This window comes from Homo sapiens, chromosome 8, assembly GCF_000001405.40.
Source record: "Homo sapiens chromosome 8, GRCh38.p14 Primary Assembly".
Lineage (NCBI taxonomy): Eukaryota > Metazoa > Chordata > Mammalia > Primates > Hominidae > Homo > Homo sapiens.
The window spans coordinates 79,656,192-79,678,299 of record NC_000008.11 but is presented as its reverse complement, the minus strand read 5'-3'; the positions used below and the strand labels follow the sequence as shown (position 1 = coordinate 79,678,299).

At 39.4% G+C, this 22,108-nt stretch overlaps 1 protein-coding gene across 3 annotated transcripts in view, besides 1 other annotated feature; it reads right to left on the bottom strand.

The window, feature by feature from the left end:
* Positions 11,840–12,382: an enhancer, noted in NCBI's record as "H3K27ac-H3K4me1 hESC enhancer chr8:80578153-80578695 (GRCh37/hg19 assembly coordinates)". NCBI's record gives its function as "activates a minimal SCP1, AML or CMV promoter by ChIP-STARR-seq in primed H9 embryonic stem cells {active_cell/tissue: H9 hESC(primed)}" and the evidence as "EXISTENCE:reporter gene assay evidence [ECO:0000049][PMID:30033119]".
* STMN2 (stathmin 2) overlaps positions 12,142–22,108 on the bottom strand; it is a 55,042-nt gene continuing 45,075 nt past the window's right edge. For 2 of the 3 annotated variants that reach the window (NM_007029.4, XM_005251142.3), the window contains one exon: positions 12,142–13,485. In NM_007029.4, the coding sequence (NP_008960.2) occupies positions 13,426–13,485 (60 nt within the window). In that variant the 3' untranslated portion in view covers positions 12,142–13,425. Of the gene's footprint in view, positions 13,486–14,638; positions 14,721–22,108 lie in introns of all 3 variants that reach the window. The other variant, NM_001199214.2, reaches the window with a different exon arrangement.

Genomic DNA, 22,108 nt, shown 5'->3' with positions numbered 1-22,108 from the left:
TTAGCATAAACTTCACGCGGTGAATATAGAGAGGGGGAGGGTGTGCTGTGTAGAGGGAGGGTTTGTTTGTGGGTATGTGGACTCCTATGCTTCTTTGGCGGGAATAGCTATCTGAGGCACTACTCTGCCTCTGTGTCCTTAGGGCTTATACTCTTAGGACTGCTTTAGTGTGAGTCCAAAGAGTGATCGCTGCCCAATGCTCAGCAAAACCTGGAAAGGGGAAAGGAGTCAGTTGGACTGGATGCTCAAGAAACATGTTCTCAATTAAATATGCACTCATATCTGATTGCTTTAGCATCTGTTACCTCTTGACTCTGGGCTTAGGGCTCCCCCAAATTGCATATACCTCTGCAATACATGGCTTCCACCAGCTGGGTTTCTCTATAGATCTGAGTCCATCTGTCTTTCGGAGGTTGCTCAAAATTTCTGGCCTGGTTATAGAAACTTTGTTTTCCATTACTGCAGTGGAATTATTTTATCTTTAAATATCTTTGATGCCATTTCGCAGGTTTTGAGTAGAGGCAGTGATACATGAATGTATCCAGCCCTACATCTTGATCCAACTGGTGACTTCTCAGTTATGATTTTTAAAAACTTTGTTCCTTAAATCATTTATAGTATCACTGAAATGAAAGGAACTCACCATTGACTTTAAACATTTTAACTAAAAAATTAGATTTCAAAACATGTGTATTCACAATTATCATCCTTGGTTTATAGCACCAAAATTACAAAGTTTTTATTCTGTCTGCAGTCACGTGCAGACCTGCCCAGTGACTGAAAAATCAACTTGTTAATCTGTTGAAATTACTTTTAAATCTGAGTTTTTAATTGTTTTGTTTTTTACTACCCAGACACTTAAAAAAAGTTGTCATTGGCTATGGTTGTGGGCTATAGCTATGAAAAGAGAAGATGAATATCAAAATCATTTAAAAAGTATGTGTTCTCTTTATTTTATCCATTCATTTTCATTCATTCATTCGCTCCATAAGTATTTATAAGACTCCTGCTATAAACTAGGCACTCTGTTAAATGTTAGGAATAGCAAGTCACAGTATTTTCCAGAAACCAAAGGAAATGAGGCTGCTACATAGGTTATGAGGCTCTGGTAAGAGATGAAAGCAGTGAGATCACAAGTTTGTAAATTATGCTACAGAATTTAGATTATCTTAAGGGCAATGACAATCTCCCAAAATATTTTAAGTGGAGAAGTGACACAATCAGATTTCAGTTTTAGACACCTCCCTCCCTCTTTGGTTAGAGTGTGTAGAACAGATTGGAGGTGGGTAATTTTTTTTTTCCAAAAGACCGCCTTGTTTCTAGCACTTTTTTCTTGCTCTTCTCCTACATTTGGTGTTAATATCATTTTACAAAAATGAAAACCTAGCCAAAAAATATAATCTAGTTTAATTAAGAAGGTTGCATTTGATTCTGTAATACATATTCTGTAACAGTAGACATTGCTCACGTTTAATAGATTTTTTCCCATCTCTTTTGTGGTAATATATAACTATGCTTGGTTTATAGCCTTGTACTAGAAATTATGTTCCTTTCTTCTGTAACCATTAATTTCATATTGAATGTGTGAACATTAACAGTTTCCAAGATAGATATTACTCAAGATGTGAAACTTTGGGAGAATCCTTGAGTCATTCTGTTACTCCCACTATTTCCTTAGAGTATATAATTTACCATTAATTGTTCATCTCCCAGTAGATAATGAAAGAGCTATAGAAGCAAAATATTGTTTCCGAGTGAGTGCTTGTTAGTGAGTAAGTAAATGAATTACATATAGAAAGTTGTTGACAACAGTTTGAGGTTGTAACTGATTCTTACGTTTTGTTGGGTGATATATTCGTTCAGCAAAGTAAAGGTATGTGACTAATATGTTTGCTCTTTGTGGCCACAAAAATTGTGAGAATAAATATGTTTATTTATACCTTACTATGTTCCCAAAATGGCCATACACACACACACACACACACACACACACACACACAGGTTCTCATTGCAGGCAAATATGTGTTTGAAAATTAAATCTCTAATAAAACTTCTAAGAGAATGTAAGTTGTCTAGGTAAAACTATAAAAATTCTTTTGAATAGCTATTTGGAATGAGTTTAAAGTTCATGAAAGAAAAGTTTGTATCTCAGCACTATTCCTATCAAGCTACCAATGTCATTTTTTCACAGAAAGAGAAAAAAACTTTTCTAAAATTCATATGGAACCAAAAAACAACCTGAGTAGCCAAAGCAATCCTAATCAGAAATAACAAAGCTGGAGGAATCACACTACTCAACTTCAAACTATGCTATAAGGTTATGGTAACCAAAACAGCATGGTACCGATGCAAAAAAAGACATGTAGACCAATGCAACAGAAGAGACAATGAAGAAATAAACTGCACACCTACAGCCATCTGATCTTTGACAAAGTCAACAAAAATAAGGAATGGGGGAGAGGACTACCTATTCATTTAATGGTGCTGGGATAGCTGGCTAGCCAGATGCAGAAGAATGAAGCTGAATCCCTACCTTTCATCATATATAAAACTAATTCAAGATAGATGAATTAAAGACTTAAATGTAAGACCTTAAACTATAAGACTCCTAAAGGGAAACCCAAGAAACACCATTGTGGACATCAGTCTTGGGAAAGAATTAATGACTGATCTTCAAAAGCAACTGCAACAAAAACAAAAATTGGCAAGTGGGACCTAATTAAACTAAAGAGCTTCTGCACAGCAAAATAAACTATCAATAGATTAAACAGACAACCTACAGAATGGGAGAAAATATTCACAAACTATGGATCTGACAAAGGCCTGATGTCCAGAATCTATAAGGAACTTAAACATTTGAACAAGCAAAACACAAATAACCCCATGAAAAAATGAGCAAAAGACATGAACAGATAGTTCTCAAAAGAAGACATACAAGTGGCTAACAAACATGTGAAAAAATGCTCAACATCACTAATCATCAGTGAAATGCAAATCAAAACCGCAATGAGATGTCATCTCATGCCAGTTAGAATGGCTATTTTTAAAAAGGCAAAAAATAACATGTTGATGAGGCTGCAGAGAAAAGGGAGCACTTATGTACTGTTGGACTTATGTACTGTTGGTGGGAATGTAAATAAGTTCATCCACTGTGGAAAGCAGTTTTGAAATTTCTCAAAGAACTTAATACAGAGCTACAGTTCGACTCAGAAATCCTATTACTGGGTATACATCCAAAGGAAAATAAATTCTGCCAAAATGCTGAGTGTGGTGGTGGTGGCTCATGCTTGTAATCCCAGCACTTTGGGAGGCTGAGGTGGGAGGATCACTTGAGCCCAGGGGTTCAAGATTATCATGGGCAACATAGTGAGACTCCATCTCTACAAAATTTTTTTTTAAAAAATCAGCTGGGCATGGTGGTGCACCTCTGTAGTCCCAGCTACTCGGGAAGCTCAGGTGGGAGAATGGCTTGAGCCAGGAGTTTGAGGTTGCAGTGAGCTGTGATTGTGCCACTGCATTCAGCCTGGGCGGCAGAGTAAGACTCTGTGTCAAAACAAAACAAAAAAGCAAAAAAATAAAACAAAACCAAACACCCTGTATTAGTTCATTCTCACACTGCTATAAAGGACTGCCTTGGAGTGGGTAATTTATAAATAAAAAGACGTTTAATGGACTCACAGTTCCGCATGGCTGGGGAGGCCTCACAATCATGGCAGAAGACAAAGGAGGAGCAAAGTCACATCTTACATGGTGTCAGGCAAGAGAGCTTGTGCAGGGCAACTCCCATTTATAAAACCATCAGATCTTGTGAGACTTATTCACTACCATGAGAATCATGGGGGAAACTGCCCCCATGGTTCAGTTATCTCCACCTGGCCCCACCCTTGACATGTGGGGATTATTACAATGCAAGGTGAGATTTGGGTGGAGATACAGCCAAACCATATTGCCTTCCCAAAACCCAAAAAGACACATGCACTCACATGTTCATCACAGTACTATTCACAATAGCAAAAAACATGAAGTCCACCTAGGTGCCAGTCAGTGGTGGACTGGATAAAGAAAATGTGGTACTCATACAACATGGAATACTATGCAATCATAAAAAATAATTAAATCATGTATTCTGCAGCAACATGAATGTAGCTGGAGGCCATAATCCTAAGCAAATTAACGCAGAAACAGAAAACCAAATGCCACATGTTCTTTCTTATAAGTGGGAGCTAAACCTTGGGTGGCCATGGACATAAAGATGGCAGCAGTGTACACCAGGGACTAGTTAGACATGAGTGGGAGGCAGGGGGAAGGGCTGAAAAACTAAATATTGGGTAGTATGCTTAGGACTTGTGTGACGAGATCATTTGTACCTCAAACCTCAGCATCACGTGGTATACCCATGTAACAAACCTGCACATGTACCCCTGGATCTGAAATAAAGTTGAAATTATATTTAAAGAGCTTGAATCTCTCAGTTCCTTTTAGATAAAAATAACAAAAAGAATGAATACTTTATACTTTGTGAGTATAATAGTATGTATGATTCACTAGGGGTCAGACATTGCTTTCAGAGCTTTAAGTTGCTAATACATTGAATTCTCACTAAACTTTATGAGGTTGGTACTATTATCGTCCTCCAATTTACATCTGAGGAAACAGAGGCCAAAGGGTTTAATCTATTTGTTTATTGTCACATGACTGCTAAGTAACAAAGGTGGGCTTTGTATCCAGCATTTTGTTCAAAAGTCCAAAGTATTGTCTAGCACATCATGCTGTTTCCAAATAGCTAGGAAGCTATTTCAATAATCCAAACAAGAGATAATGGTAGATTAGACAGAGGTGATAGCGTCTATATCTATATCTCCATCTAGATAGGCAGATTTTGAGAATAGAGGCAACAGAATTTTCTTATGTTTGTATGTGGGGCATGTAGAGAATAAGGGGAATCAAAGATAGTACAAGAATTTTGGCTGAGCAATTAGAAGAATGAAAATGCAAGAGATGGGGAGGGAATGTTGGGAGTATTGTTTTGGATGTGTTTGGAGATGCCACTTATGTATACAAACGAAGATGTTTAGGTAGTCAGTTCGTCACATGAGACTAGTTCAGGGGACAAATCTGGAAAAATGAGTTTGGGAACTAGCAGCATATATATGATGTCTGAACTGCAAGATGGGTGTAGATCACCCAATGAAGTAAGAGTAAGTGTGGATACAGAAAAGAAGGAGACCAAAGACTGATCCCTGGGGCATGCCAACATTTAGAGTTTGGGTAGAAGAAGAGGCAGCAAAGGAGATAGAGAAGCAGCAATACTGAGATGACAGGAAAGCAAGGAAAGTGTGGGGTAGGAAAAGCCAAGTGAAGAAAGATATCAAAGAGGAGACTCATCAGTTATGTCAAATAATAGGTAGAGTAAGATGAGGACTGAGAACTTACCATTGGATCTAGCACCATGGAGATCATTGGTAACCTGACAAGAATAGTGTAGATCCAGTGGAATGAAGGTAAAAGACTTATTGGAAAGGGTTTATGAGAGAAGGAGAGGCAATAAATGAAAGACAGAGAGTGGAGACAATGCTTTTGGAGTTTTGCTGTAAAGTGAACTAGAGAAGTATGTCAATAGCTGCTGGGAAAAATGGAATCCAAAATTTTTTTTAAGATGCAAAAAATAATAGCATGTTTTATGCTGAATTTGTAGAAAGAAAAAATGATGAAATGGGAGGGAGAGAAGAGAATTTCCAGAGCAATACATCTGAGATAGTGAGAGGAGATGGGATCTAGTGTACAAAAGGAAGCACTGGCTTTAGATAGCTCATCTGCAGTAGTAGTCGGAAGGCAGAGCATAAGGGTGGTAGGTGGGTTGATGTGTTGGAGGGAGTCTATGGAAACTATCTTCTAATTGCTTCATTTTCCCAGTGAAGTAGGAAGAAAAGTCATTAGCTGAGGATAGGAGAGGAGGTGTTGGATGTTTGAGGAGGTTTAAGAGAGTATAAGACTAGAGACATATAGTGTGATTGCCAGGAAAAATTAAGGGCTCACATGAGGTTCATGTTCATGAATTTAAAGAGATACTAGTAAGCATGGCTATTTGATTTCTACAATTATGTTCATCTATATGGGTACAGGCATAGATTAGGTGGAGAGTTAATTTAGCTAGCATTGTGGGTTTGACCTTCTGAAAACAATACATTAAGAGAGAGAGTTATTGGGTTATATGAGAGAGATTACAATAATGGAATGATTAGAATTTAATCTGGGTAAGGAGGGAAGACTAAAGATGATAAGGGACATGGAAAGCTTCTATAAATGGATGGAAATCCCAGTGAGGTTGAAGGATAGGGGTCAAGCTACTTAAGAAATTTAGCTGGAAAGACAGTAGATGGTGGTCAGAAAGTGGCATGCATGGAATGGAGATAATGGAAGCATTGTGATACTTAGTAGTGAACACCAACAAAGAAGTGAAGTGGTTGAATAGATTGGAGACATGAGCTTCAAGAGTGAGTGTCTTAGAAAGGACTAAGAATGATCTAGAAGTCACATATGAGAGCAAGGACAATACTCAGCATACCTCCTTGAGAAGACTGCAGATGGGGCAGTGTCTTCATGGGAGAGACAGGAAACACTCTGTTTACCCCTCAGGATTCTCTCTCTGCTTTTCTTCATCCTGCTTGGCCTCAGAGGCTGAGTTCTACACACAGGACAACTGGGATCCCTTGCCCTCTAATTTCTGGTTGGATTTGGCTAGTGTGAAACCTTGGCTAGAGATTGAAGGGTGAGGGAAGAAAGATATTTAGATATTTATTCCCAAATCCTTCCTTGCTAGGCTGCATTTGTTGGAGGCTGAGTTCCTCTCCTAAAGGTCATAACTTCTCGTCAGGCAGTGCTTCATCATCCTTTGTTGGTTTCTCTTAATCTGCCAACACCCTGATATAGTTTGGATGTTTGTCCCCTCTGGATCTCATGGTAAAATGTGATCCCCAGTGTTCGAGGTAGGGCCTGGCAGGAGGTGTTTGGGTCATCAGGGTGGATCCCTCATGAATGGCTTGGTGCCCTCTTCATGGTAATGAGAGAGTCCTTGCTCTATTAGTTCATGTGTGAACTGGTTGTTTAAAAGGGCCTGGGGGGTCTCTCTTGCTCTTTCTCTCACCATGTAACATGCCTGCTCCCCCTTTGCCTTCATGCCTTCTGCCATGAGTGAAAGCTTCCTGAGGCCCCATCAGAAACTGAGCAGATGCTGATACTATGCTTGTACAGCCTGGAGAATTGTGAGCCAAATGCACTTCTTTTCTTTAGAAGTTACTCAGTCTCAAGTATTCCTTTACAGCAACACAAAATGTACTAAAACACACCCTTTTAATATAATTGTCATTCAATTCTCATTATTTACTCCTTTTTACTGTGCCTTCTGTTTCCTGCTAGGATCTAAACCAATATGGTGATCAGTAAAAACCTAATGACTCTTGGGTCCCCAGGTTTGGTGGACAGCAAACAGACCAAGAAATCTGCTTCCAAGGAGATTCAGATTCCAAGGAGGCATATTTCTCAATGTCCTTGTAATGTGACCAAGGAGAATAAAGAAATAGGAAGATTTGCTTAGAGAACAGAGCCAAGAGCCATGAAGAACATTGGACTGAGGAGCTCCTCTCTGGGAGCATAATGGAGACAGAGTCAAGGAATGTGCCCTGTCTCAATGGTAAAGGGCCTCACAATGTCTGGCCAGTGGAATGCCAGAATTTATATGATCAGTAAATGTGGTGTTGCTCCCATTCTTATCCTTTAGAATGAGCATATTTATTGTGATTATCCTGTCCCATTTTGCCATTACATATTGAATATTCAGGGAATGATGACTTGTCTTTTTAATTTATTTGTTTCTCAGGTCGAAAGAACCCATGTCTAAATGTGTGTGTGTGTGTGTGTGTGTGTGTGCGCGAGAGAGAGCGAGAGAGAGAGAGAGAGAGAGAAAGAACTGTATATTACCCAAGACATTGAACTTGATGCCATGATCAAATGATACTTGGAGGTTTTATATCTTGGGGACAATGTGAGTGTACTTTACATGGAGGAAGGAGAGTGAGCTGAATATTTAGTGACCAGTGGGGTGACAGTCATTGTTATGACTCATCAAATAAATATTTCTGACTTTCCTCCTGAACTTATGATGAGACTGCACTTTTCTCCCTATTTAGAGTTAAATGGGATCATATCACTTGCTTTGGCCAATGAGATGTGATGTGTGCTACTTCTGGGTGGAAGCTTTAAGAGAACCTGTGTGTGATTTGCCATGCATGTACGTTCCCTCTTCCACAGTGACCAGCAACATTCCAGATAGAGGCAGCTCCATCTCATTTGGCTCCAGAGTGAGGCACAACATAGAGAATAATCCACAGTGAGCAGGTTGGACATGTAGCAGGAGTCGGAAATAAACCTTTGTAGTTTTAATTTACTGAGATTTGGGGGTTTTATGACAGCCTGACTTAGCCTTTTCTGTTATACTGTAGTGAAGATAATTTCATACAGAGTACAAGGTGTGTGTGGAAGCCTGAAATGTCATGTCATTGGCACGTCAGAGTGAACTGTTTGGGGTTCAACGAGAGTAGTGTTTGTTTTTTGTTTTTTTTTTTGAGACAGGGTCTCTCTGTGTTGCCCAGGCTGAAGTGCGGTGGCACAACCATGTCTCCCTGCAGCCTCGACAACCTGGGCCCAAGCGATCTTCCTGCCTCAGCCTCCTGAGCAGCTGGGACTACAGGTGCATGCCATCATGACCAGCTAATTTTTTTTTCTAATAGACTTGGGGTTTCACCATGTTGGCCAGGTTGGTCTTGAACTCCTGAGCTCAGGTGATCCACCTGTCTCGGCCTCCCACAATGCCGGGATTACAGGTGTGAGCCACCATACCTGGCCAGCTAATTTTTAAACTTTTCATAGAAACAAGTTTTCGCTATGTTGCTCAGGCTAGTCTTGAACTCTTGGGCTCAAGTGATTCTCCCACCTCGGCCTCCCAAAGTGCTGGGATTACAAGTGTGAGCCATGGTGCCTGGCCGAGAGTAGTGTTCTTGAGGAAAGAGAGATGGTGGAACACTTTAATGTCATGTAGAGGAGTGCAGATTGCATTCTGCAGATAGAGGGGACGGGCAGTAGAGTCCTGGAGAGACTTGGTCACTATGTGTGGGGGCTGTGGACTGGAGCAAAGGAGACTTGTTAGAAGGCTGCTGCAAGTGTCTACCAGGACCCAAACTAGACGGTGGTTCTGGAAGTAGAAAAGAAGCAAGGACTGCAGGACAGTGTGGAGGTCAAATTGACACCATTTGATATTCAACTGGAGGTGGGTGGTGGGGGACAGTGAGGAATCCAAGACGACTCAGGTAATGTGGGGGAGCTTGGGGGCCTTAGCTTTGTTCTGGGCTCTGTGCTTGCCTTAGCAGTTTCAGCAAACTGCCTGATTAGACGTCAAGGATGTCTTGTCCAGGGGCTGGGAGGAGAGAGATGATGTGTTATTTGGCTGCTAAAGCCACAGAAGTCACGTCTCCCCCTTTTCATCCTCTCCCTCAGTAGGAGGAGGGTAGATGGGCCACAATACGCCTATTAGCACTTTTACCCCCATTGTTTTCTCCTCTCAGGTGTTGTGAAGGCTGATGAAGAGCACAAAGGCGAGACTCTTGCTAGAAAAGAGAATGACCTTTGTCAACATTCAGTTGTTCCATACATTTTTGGGTGTAGGAGAGATAGGGGAGGAGGGTGAATCATCAAACTAATGGAACTTTGTGAATTTTCACAGAACATTTCAAAGACATTTAAGCAATTTAAACACAGTACTGAAGAAGCCAAGACTCCGTAAAACAAACAAACAAACAAACAAAAAATCTGTAACTGGAACCAGGCTAACAAACTGGGTAATTCACAGAATGGCAAATCCTTGCAAAAAGCACTCAGTTCATCTATTAAAGGGTGGGGAGCGTCTTCAGATTTTTGATCCTTACTGAAATCATGTTGTGTGAGAGATGCCGAGTCATTGGTACTCTGATTCCACCTTAGCTCTATCCCAGCCCCTGGCTGCACGATTGATTGCTTCCATTGTTTTATTATCCTGCAAGGCACAGCTGTTTATCTTGCTTTTTTCTGGATTTCTCTGCATCCTCCCACCCCCGAACTTTTTTGAATAAGAGTGAATGCATTTCTCTTCTTGCCCTGCCTCCAATGGAACATGCCCTGATTGAAACAGATTCCCTCAGTGTGGCAGCCACAGAGAATCCACACACCTGGATCAGTTGCATTGTTGACAGCAGGGCTTCTCAAGTGAGGGCTGCAGACAAGCAGTATTAGCATCTTCTGGGAATATGTTAGAAATGCACATTTTCAGGCTTCCAGAGACCTCAGGAATCCAAAGCTCTGGAGGCAGGACTCAGAAATCTCTTTTTAACAAGCCGTTCACATAACTTGGAAGCACACTGACATTTGAGGCCCTCTGGCCTCACTGGTCTGGCAGGTTTGGAGGTGTTCTTTTTTTCCCCCCATTGTGAATTATGCTCTTTTATTTATTTATTTTTCTTTTAAATTTTTTTTTGCTTTTTTATTTCTATAGGTTTTTGGGAAACAGGTGGTATTTGGTTACATGAGTAAGTACTTTCGTGGTTATTTGTGAGAGTTTGGTACACCCATCACCCAAGCAGTATATGCTGCACCCAACTTGGAGATGTTCTTCTGAGGACCTCAAATAAGGGAAGAAGAAGTCATGAGATGTGGGCACTGTGGTCTGGAGCCAACCACTCACCTTTCCCTCCTCTGCTTTTTCGCTTTTTTTTTTTTTTTTTTTTTTTGAGACATGGTCTCGTTCTGTCACCCAGGCTGGAGTGCAGCGGTGTGATCTCAGCTCACTGCAGCCTTGATCTCCCCAGGCTCAGGTCATTCTCCTATCTCATCCTTTCAAGTAGCTGAGACTACAGTTACTCCCCAGCATGCCTGGCTACTTTTTGTATTTTTTTTTGTAGAAAAGATATTTCACCTTGTTTCCCAGGCTGGTCTCGAACTCCTCCCTTCAAGTGATCTGCCTGCCCTGGCCTCCCAAAGTGTTGGGATTACAGGCATGAGCCACCGTGCCCGGCCTGCTTCTTCATCTTTGAGATTAGGCAGCTGGACTGGTCAGCAGTTTCAGTTCTCATACAAAGTACTATGAGAAGTTTGTCAAATATTTCTAATATTTCAGAAACTTCTTAGAAATGATCCATTTTCCCCAAATATGCTGCAGAGGGCTGACCAACATATCATGTTTGCTGTTTTGGGGCCCAAATAAGCTACTGGATTATGAGCTTCTTGTGGTCATTCATGTTCATGTTTCCAGGGCTTATCATAGGGTCTGACCCAATGAGTAATTCGGGTAATGTTTTCCAAACTAAGCTATAGAAAACCAGTATGAAGAGACAACTCATTTCATGCTCATTGGAAGCTCATGTGTTTCACATCAAGCTCAGGCATTGTTTGTAGCAGTATTAGATTCCCACAAATATTAAAGGATATTCAAAATAGAGACCAGGTGGCCGCAACCCTAAACTTGGCTTGTTAGAGCTCCTATGGACCATAGCCCACTGTACTTATTCACAAATCTGTGTGGTTTCAATTATTTATGATTTTCTGCTAAAACTGGATGTGGTTCCTTTGGTCCTGTAAGATCCATTTGGGTCACTGACAGGACCCTGCTGCGCCCATGTGTGCAGTGTGTTTATTGGCAGTACAAAATTCAGCAGTACGTCAGGGATCACATCTTAACAGACGGCCTAGGCTGGGGGAGGCGTTCTGTGGGCCACAGGGGAGAACTTGAGATAATGCCAGGAACCTTCAATGTTTTGAAAAGGGCTCACTTCCTCAGAATTATCAGTCTGCATTTTGTGGTATCTTGTTCAGTCCTGTATGTTTTTAAAGGGAGCAGATTGAAGACCTCTCCCACAGTGTTGGCCCATCAGAGGGCAAGAGAAAAGAGATGCGGCCTGCTGTTCCCAAAGGGAAATGACTCAGCAGGGCACTGGTTTCCTTCAAACTCTCCTTATTATCTCTTTGCTTGTGAGATTGTCTAATTCAGTGGCTGCCCTTTTAAAATCTGAACTCCAGGGTCAGACACATGAAGAGGCAAGAGAACAGACCAAACCTTTATTAGTTCACAGAACTCCAATTCTTTATTAATCACAGCTTGCTCACAATGACATACAGGAAAATAGCACTAATGAAGAGTAAATATGCAGGCAGCAACCTTCAGGAGTTGGGAGTTGGGGAGAAACGACTTCAAAACTGCGATAGGTACTTATGGTGGGTATCTGGTGATTCTTAGTTGGCACAAATGCCCTGCCTAGCCCCCTTAACTGCGTCAGCTTCACAGATGGAGTGTTTTGTTGTTGGTGTTGTTAGTAGGCAGGATTGCCTTACACTGGGGAAGAAAGACCAGCTTGAGTGAAAGTCCGCAGTGTTTTTGATTTTGTTTGTATGTGTGTTTTAATGCAACAACCAGCTCACAGTTTCCAAGTGGAAAAATATTCAGTAGCATCATGTACTTGTACTATAGGTAAGAGCTTAAAATGAACATCATCAATCATGGCATCCACAAATAAGCCACCTGACACATTAATTAATTCATTCCATCAAAAGAACTTAAACTAGAGAATTAAGCCCACTTTATGAAGAGCGATTTCACGGCTGCTTGAACCATTCGAATTTGGATTTGTGTTCAGCACTTTAAAAGGTTCAACTTTTTGCTTCTACCCAGATTGGTCTCAGGTCTGTCTTCTCATCCATCCCTTTCTAAAGCCAAAGCACATTTGTAGCACATAATCCAGGAGAAGCAGAAGTAAATGCTATGACTGGTGGTATTTCTTAGCCTGGTTTTGTAGTTTTTAGGCAGTAAGTAGATTATGAGCGAACAAATGTGAAGGTTCATGTGGAGTCATAATACCTGTGATCTAGGTATGGTCTTAGTCAAGCTCAGAGACAACAAAGCCTTCTAGGTCATTAGGCAATGGTGGGTTTCTAGCACCATAGACTGTCTACTGACCTCATTTTTCTTTTGGAATGGAGTTAGACATGGGGAGCTTCAAAAAGAACAGACCTAGCAAATTCATTTGAGTGGAAAGACACAACATCAAAAGCCTGTTACAGGACATGTAAGATTATGAAATAACTTGCATAATGCAATACTTGTATTTTTTAACAAAAATGTAAGTATTTACAAAATAAGATCCAAGGTATTTTTTAAACATCAAGCAAAACATTCTGCAAAGAGACCGCATTGATTTTTTTTAATTTTTGATTTTTTTTGTTTTTTTTTTTTTATAATGAGTTCTTTTTAAACCATGTCATACATTCCCCATCCTGATATCGCATGATCCATTATAATATAGGCAGGGGGATTTACTATTGGTGGGGCGTGCCAGACCCTCCCTTGCTTCAGCCAGACAGTTCAACCTGGAGTTCCTTGTTCCTGCGCACCTCCGCAGCATGCCTCTCCTAAAAAACACAAAAGGAAGAAGAAATGTCACAGGCCCTTTTTGTCTGGTCCTTTGCGTACCATGCGCTTGACTAGAAGTAACCCAGTTTGGTGTCTACTTTTATGAATTTTTCCCATTTCAGAAGGAAAATATGGGCCCTGCAAAATGTCATGTTAGAAAAGATCTTACAAGACTTACTGTGTTTTAAAAAATATATTTAACACTGTTTTTGTTTAAAACTATGACCAAAAGTTCATGTTATTAAGATAGTTTTGAATATTAGGATCAGAGTATAAATCCAGAGAAAGGTAATAAAACATCACATTATTGTTTCTCTATCATTTCTAATGATGTCGTTCCTTTTGACTAATATTTTAAGGACTTTATAATCCTGATGGACACTCTGGGAGGGCTAGATCCAGGACGAAGACTTTCTATACTGCTTCTTAAACTCTTGACCTGTTTGTCAAGGCCCTTCATAATTGCAGTCCAAGTGACGTTTCCAGTCATAACCCCCATCTTTTCCTACACACACTTGATGTTTCAGTTTAATGGAATTGTCTTGTCATGCAATTTTCAATGCTAGTCTTTCATCTCCACTGGTCAGGATTATAAACTTACTCTTTAAGCCCTATGACCATTGTCCTTTTCTCCATAAAGATTTTTATGAGACTGCAAAGACTAACCTGCAAACTTATCTCACTTTCCATTTGAACACCTGCATAAATCTTTCCTTTTATTCGGCAGTCATTTTATTCTAGTTGTATTATGAGCCTCTCTGTTCTTGTCTCCTCTATTATATTTGACTGTAAGCTCATTGAGGGCCTGGACTATGTTTTATCATTTTTTTTTCCATTTGCAGGGCCTAGCAGAGTGCTTTGCAGATAGCATGTAATTGGTGGATGTTTATTTACATAAGGAACCAAGGTACTAGCCTGGGATTGGGAACTGAACTTCCTGAGGAGGGAACTGATGGAGGAAGTATTTTTTAGTATGTGGCTATACATCAGATGACTAAAATCAGTATTTTTTAGTATGTGGCTATACATCAGATGACTAAAATCAAACTGTCTTGCATATATCATAGGCGCTAAATAAATGTTCATTGAATTGAAATTTTAAGATGCTAATTATTAGTAGTATTATTTATATTTCTGTAGAATGTTGCTTACATTGCTTCTCTCCTTCCCTCTGAAGCTCCAGAAATTGAGACTCTATAGATTCTTTTAGTTCAGAAGAAATAAACTTGACCAGCTATAAAGTAAAACTTATCGTTAAACTCTATTAATCTCAAGGAGTCTACACTTATAGGGTTCTTTATATCATAATACTGAATATTTATTAGGCACTTAATGTGTACCAGACCTGCATCAGTACACGTTTTACCTGTATTAATTCCCTTAATCCTCACAATAATCTTATAGTGGACATTCTATTATTGTCCCCATTTTGCAGATGAAGAAACTGAAACACAGGAAGGGTAAGTAACTTGCCCATCTTCATGATACTAACAAGTGGGATTTAAACCCAGGGAACCTGGCTCTACAGCTCACTCTCTTAATCACTGCTATACAATTTCAATGTTGAGTGAGGAGAACATTTTATAGTTGCATGGAAAAATGTGTCTTTTCAAGTGTAGATTCTGGGAGAAAAAAGGCATAGACCACCCTATACTTCCTTCAAAGATACAGAGTTGGAGTAAGCAGGAAGTTGACTCTAGAGAAAGAGATTAAAAACAATTTTATTTAATTGGTTTAAATGAGCTTTTGTATATGTTCAAAAACCATGAAGAGAAGGAAAGAGGCATGCATAGAGAAATCAAATCCTGTTTGGAAATGTCACAGGGGAAATTAGCATGGATGCAGCTGATTCTTCTTTTTGTTCTGCTATTATAAGGAAAAAGATGAAGCAAAATCTTTTTCTCATGCAGAAAGAAACTAATTAGTGAGAGCTGAGCTCTGGCAAAAATTGAGAAAAAGCCCAGACCATCACTATGCTAGGAAAAAGAAGCCTCAAGTCTAAAGATTCATATAAATTCAAACTGATAACATAGCAGGAAACATTATAATTAGTATTATTAGGCTACTTTGGAGTACACTTCTTGTTAAACTCAAAATTAGTGTTAACAAAATGGATTTTGCCATAGGAAAGAATAAATATAATTTGTGAGCTTGAGATAATGTGGAAAAAGAGAAAATAAATGATTATGAGTTTCTAATTAAAAATTATTTGTTTTCAGGCATTTTAGTCACTCTATTATTTGAACACTTTACGTTCACATTATCGAATATTTACTCATGAACTGTTAATGTGACTTTATATCAAAATGTGGGAGAACAAAAGGCAGTCATGCAGGAAGCATGTAATTTCCCATACAGTCTGTTTTTCTTATCAGCTCACTGTTTGCAATTACTAGACCTTGAATCTAGAGGTTCCTAAAGCAGTTGTGATACTCAGAGAAGGTTCATCAAGAAGACTACTCTTTGATAATATTTATTTCATTATTGATCTCCTGATATTTGCTAGGCACTGTCAGAGGCCCAAGCATATCTAAATTTACAATGTTTTCTGCAATTTACCCCCTTCCTCCCATCAATATAAAGGAAATGTAATACAATATTTTAGCATTGTATGCAGCTATGCCTTTTATATGAAAAAAGATGTATGAAAGTTGATTTTAGGAAAAATTCTGGTCCTCTAATTCTTTCCTCTGATTTCATAGAAAGATTTCTCTACTGGAAGGTAAGAAATATGAGGTCTTTCCTTTCTTTACTTTTTAATGTCCCTTTAATCTCACTAGGTATCAAATATAAACAAGGACTTGGACTATATGACCTAGGATGTCAATTCCATCTATGGAATTCTGTCATATGAGCCTAATTAAATTCAAGATGAGGTCAGTATCATCAAAAATCCTTCTTTTTACTAATGACTATGCACTTGCAATATAAAAAAGGGGTCAGGAGTGAGTTGTGTGAGCTAAGAAAGCACATGTTCATACATTGAGATGTTGGTGATCAGGGGTCATGGGCAGATAGTAAAAAGGTTTGGAGTCAAACAGACTTGCATTCAAATCTAGTCTCTGTGGTCTACTTGTGATCTTGGCCAAATGACTTAATCTTCCTAAAGACCAGGTTCCTTAGATGTGAAATGGGGATAATCACAGTATTTTCTTTTAGGTTGTTGTTTGGATGAAATGTGATAGTACATCCAAAAATGTCTGGCCTATAGCAAACAATTAATAAAGGCTAGTTTTAATCCCTTTTCCTATTTCATTATTCATTCATCAGACATGTTCAATAGTAAGTGTTCATCAGACATGTTCAACAGTAAGTGGTTGCACAAATGATATTTGTGCATCAGAATCACAAGAAAACAAAAGATGAGAAGAATGCAATAGGTGTAAATTGATAATAGCTGGAATCTATAACTAAAGAGTTAAATATTGTCAACATCAGGGAAATGCAAATTAAAACCACAATGAAATACCACCTTACTCCTGCAAGAATGGCCGTAATTAAAAAGTCAAAAAACAATAGGTGTTGGCATGGGTGTGATGAAAAGGGAACACTTTACACTGTTGATGGGAATGTAAATTAGTATGACCACTGTGGAAAACATAAAGAACTGAAAGTAGAACTATCATTTGATCCAGCAATCCCACTGCTGGGTATCTACCCAAAGGAAAAGAAGTAATTATATGAAAAAGACACAGGCTCATGCATGCTTATAGCAGCACAACTTGAAATTACAAAGATATGGAACTAATGTTAAGTGTCCATTGACCAACAAGTGGATAAATAAAATGTGGTATATATACACCATGTAATACTACTCAGCCATAAAAAGGAACTAAATAGTGTCTTTTGCAGCAACTTGGGTGGAGCTGGAGGCCATTATTCTAAGTGAAGTAACTCAGGAATTGAGCACTAACTATCATATGTTCTCATAAGTGGGAGCTAAGCTATGAGTATGCAAAGATATAAGAGTGATATAATGGACTTTAGAGACTTGTGGGGGAAGGTTGGGAGTGGGGGCGAGGGATGAAAGACTACATATTGGGTACAGTGTACACTGCTTGGGTATTGGGTGCACTAAAATCTCAGAAATCACCACTAAGGAACTTTTCCATGTAACCAAACACCACCTGTATCCCCAAGACTATTGACATTTACAAAACAGGTACATATTATCAAAATTACCTCTTAGGGAAAGAATCACAGAATCTTATTCCCTGAAAATATTTTTATCATTTTAAGTTGCATCATATTATGTGCTACTATTGCCACTAAAATATGGCTATAATATTTTCATTTGACATTTTCTAGATATTAGAAGTGAAATGATGAATTATAGTGAAGCAATTTCTTTTATTTCCTAAGTACTGTACTTCATGGTTGGATAGGGGAAAGCAGTTGTCAAGTTTGTCTGGGTTACTTGCTTCTCTCCTTTCTAAACGATACTGAAAGCTCCTTTGGTATTTGTTACCATGTTATGAGCTCAGAAGTCTTGGCATTGACTAAGATGATATGGTAGAATTACAAAAGAAAGAAGATATGATACAATCTGGATTAAGTGGGGAATTCAACAAGATTCAGTAGAAGTCCTCTTCAGTAACTTGCCATGTTAACCCTCTCTGTTCCCTCCATCGTCCTGCTGTCTGATGGTTCCTAAATGCTGAATTGCTTGAGAGGAAAGGGCTCTTCCCTAATATTGCCACATACTTTCCTTCTCAAATGGTTGTGTTATATGCTTGATTATAGCCAATGGTATTTCCACACCTGTTTAGCAATTCACATTTGAAAATTTAACTATCTAATTTAATTAAGTACTACATTAATGGAAAATTGTGAGGGTGGAGAGAAACCTTTGGAAATACGTGAGAAAGTGAAGTATTTAGTAGATACTGGGTGAGTCAACTATAAAAGCTATGGAAAAGTTGTAAAAAGTCTATATCCAGGCTTTTTGGAGATGTCTTTAGTCCCTACTCAATTTTAAAGAAATTAAAACTGCAAATCATAGCTAATGTGACATAAGTGTGAATAATGGCAAGAAAAGAAACCCCCATAGAACCCCCATTAACTGATCAATTTTTGGAAAAGGTATTGGGCCCAACTACATCGAAAGATTGGTCAATATGTTTACACGTAAATATTTGACATTAAAATTATATGTTTAGTGAATAGATGTATTGTTGTTAAAATGATTATACATGCTTTAACTGATTTTTCAAAACTAACTGTCTCACTGCAATTCTTGATTGGGTCATTTGGCGCTCCTACTACTCAGGGTTTCTAAAAGGGTCAGGTGGTGAATTTTCTGCAGGATGCTGCATAGTGCGTTAGGGGAGAAAGGGACACATCAGGGGAGGAAGAAAATGTCTTGAATCATTCCTGTATGTCAAGAACAGGTGTTTCCCCCTCTCTTTCCTTTCTCTCATCTTCCTCTCTTCCCCTCTCCTCCCCTTCTCTGTTTCTCTCTCTTTCTACTTCTCATACCACTCTAAGAATAAGAACATTTTGAACTTCACCAGTCATAATCCACAGACTAGTCTTTTGAGTCCTGGATATGACATCAATAGGTCAGCCTAATGCAGGCCTTTGTGGCACAGGCATCCCTTCTCCCACAGCCTTCTCCACATTTGATTCTTTTCTATATAATAGCCTGGAGTGTTAAGATGAGGTGCTATGAAAACAGGAAACTGAAATAAGAAATGAGTGTAACATTCTTCTTTGGAGGAAGAAAGAACACTTATGCAACAAAGACAAAAAATACTAAAATATAATTTATGATGACATCACAAAGCATATTTAAGAAACATTTAGCACAGTGGTTCTCAACCACGGCTAAATATTAGAGCCTACTAGTGAGCCTTTAAAATAATACAAGGTTCTTGGCCCTATTCCAGACATTAAATCAGAATCCCTTAAAGAGCTGTCCAGTAGATTCCGAAGTGCAGCCAGGGCTGCTTTTGCTTTAGGCTTTCAGTTTTAGCTAAAGGCTTTGAGCTAACATGGCTGGGGCTCTGAGGGGTTTCTGGGAATTTATCAGTCAGTGACATTGAAGATACCATTATGGGCATCATGGTGAAAATATGCTTGAATGCTCAATTCTCTTAATTGAAGGGAAGAGCGACTGAGTGCTGAATGGTAGGCAGATTGTGGAAAAGCTTGCACAGAGTTGTATCATGTCTCTTGCTTAATTGATAGGGCCAGTGAGGGCTATCATAAGGGTGGGCGCATGGTGTAGTGACCTTGATGTGAATTTACTTTTACTGATATTATTCAGTGTCTTTGTATTTACTGTCTATATTGGACCATACTACATGTTGTCTTATTCTCTAATTGTTGGTGCTATATTATTTATTGCTGAATTTTGTATTGTCTGTATTGGGAAAGACATGGTTGGTAATGATATTACAAAGGTTCCTAAGCATATAGTAGGGACTCAATACATATTCATTGAATGATTAACTCATTGATAGGTGTCATTTCAGAAGTGGTCATCTTTTTTTTTCTTTTTATTTTAGAGACAGGGTCTTGTTCTGTTTCCCAGGTTGGAGTGCAGTGGCACAATATTTCCCAGGTTGGAGTGCAGTCTCGAACTCCTTGGCCCAAGCAATCCTTTCATCTCAGCCTCTGAAGTAGCTATGACTACAGGCATTTTTACAAGTGTGCCACCACTGCTGGCTAATTTTTGAATTTTTGTTTGAGGCAAGGTATCATTATATTTCCCAGGCTGGTCTCGAACTCCTGGCTTCAAGCAATTCTCTTGCCTTGGCCTCCCAAAGTGCTGGGATTACAGGTGTGAGCCACCATGCCCAGCATAATTATCTTTTGATATGGTAGATTTCAGAGCAGCTTATGTTACGTTGGCAGTGTCATGCCTTTTGGCTTTACTGTTATTACTGACCCTCTTTTAAATTTCTAATTTAATAGGAGTAACTTCATTCAAACAAAATGCTAAATATTACTTCCAATATAAAACTTTGTCTTATTTTAGGAAAAAGCAAAGTAGTTTTAGTATACACATTCACAATATGTAAACCACAATTTTGTATTAAATCCACCTATGTGATATACATCAAATCAAAGTAAATATGGTATTTCCTTTTTATTGAGGAGATAAAAGATCTTGACTGACACTGGCCAAAGATCCTATTAGATTTGAAAAGCACCTCATTAGCTATGAAATACCAGAAAAAAATGTGGTCCTAGAATTTCTCTGGGCTGCATTATGTGACGTGGGATAGACTGCTGAGAGCTGAGATTTAAATCAGAACAGGCTACGAACCACTAGTTCTCAAATCTGGCTGCATATTGGAACTATATGGAGAGTTTTTAAAATGTATGGATGCTGGGTCCCATCCTTGGAGATTCTGTGGGTTGATGTCAGGAATTTTAAGCACTCTTTGGGTTGATTATTTGCAGGAAAAGTGGTGTGCAGATGTACATGTATGCATGTATGGGGGAGGGCACTAAATTTGGTTGGGAGTGGAAAGAGTACAAAAATGAGCTGAGCATGGCTGGGCTAGGTGAAGAGAAAAAAACACACAGAGGAAAAAAATGGTCCGTTAAAAGCTAGCACTTCTGGAAATATTAGATAAAATATGGAAAATTTTTGAACTATTTTACAATTGAAATCAAGAAGGATATGCCCTGGCTGGGCACGGTGGCTCACACCTGTAATCCCAGCACTTCGGGAGGCCGAGGTGGGTGGATCACTTGAGGTCAGGAGTTTGAGACCAGCTTGGCCAACACGGCAAAACCCTGTCTCTACTAAAAATACAAAAATTAGCTGGGCGTGGTGGTATACGCCTGTAATCTCAGCTACTTGGGAGGCTGAGACATGAGAATCACTTGAACCCAGGAGGCAGAGGTTGCAGTGAGCTGAGATCGTGCCACTGCACTCCAGCCTGGGCGACACAGCGAGACTCTATCTCAAAAAAACAAACAAACAAAAAAGGAGGCTATGCCGTGTGTTTGGGTATGTGTAATTTGAAAAACAAAAATGCTCCAGGACTGCCAGTGATATAAATCTTGCATTGAGGCCTAATTGAGAATGCTGCAATAAGATCAGCAGGTACCGTTCCTAGCAACTTCACTTAATTGTTTTAGGGCCTAGGATGTGAGAAGAAGGTTGAGTCACAGTGATCTCAAAGAGATCACACAGTGGCCCTCTGCTGTCCATGTTATGAGCACTGGTCAAGCGGGAACATCCTTAGTTCTCTGGAGAAGTGCAAAGTGGTGGCAGATGGAGGAAGACTGACTGGTTGAAGGTCAGGGGAGTAAACTTTAGCAAATGGAACTTTGCTCCCCTGTATCTGAGTAAAACATGTGTTCCTATACCGCCATAAATCACCTGGAGAGAGCCAAATTCTGTTGCCTCTTCCAAATCGTGACTTGACTCACTTGGGTGAAACGCAATGACATTGTTCTGAGAGTATAAAAACACTAGCTTATAAATACAAATTTAATCCGAACTTTCATGTTTCGGATAAGGCATCAGGTAACTATTCCGGTTCTTGCCCAAGTCAGCAGTACTCGTCCACGGACCTCTGAGAGCCTCAGTGTCTTACTGCTGCATCAGAGCCCACACACCCTTCCCCAGCAATGCTTTCAAAAATTCCTCACGAGCACAAA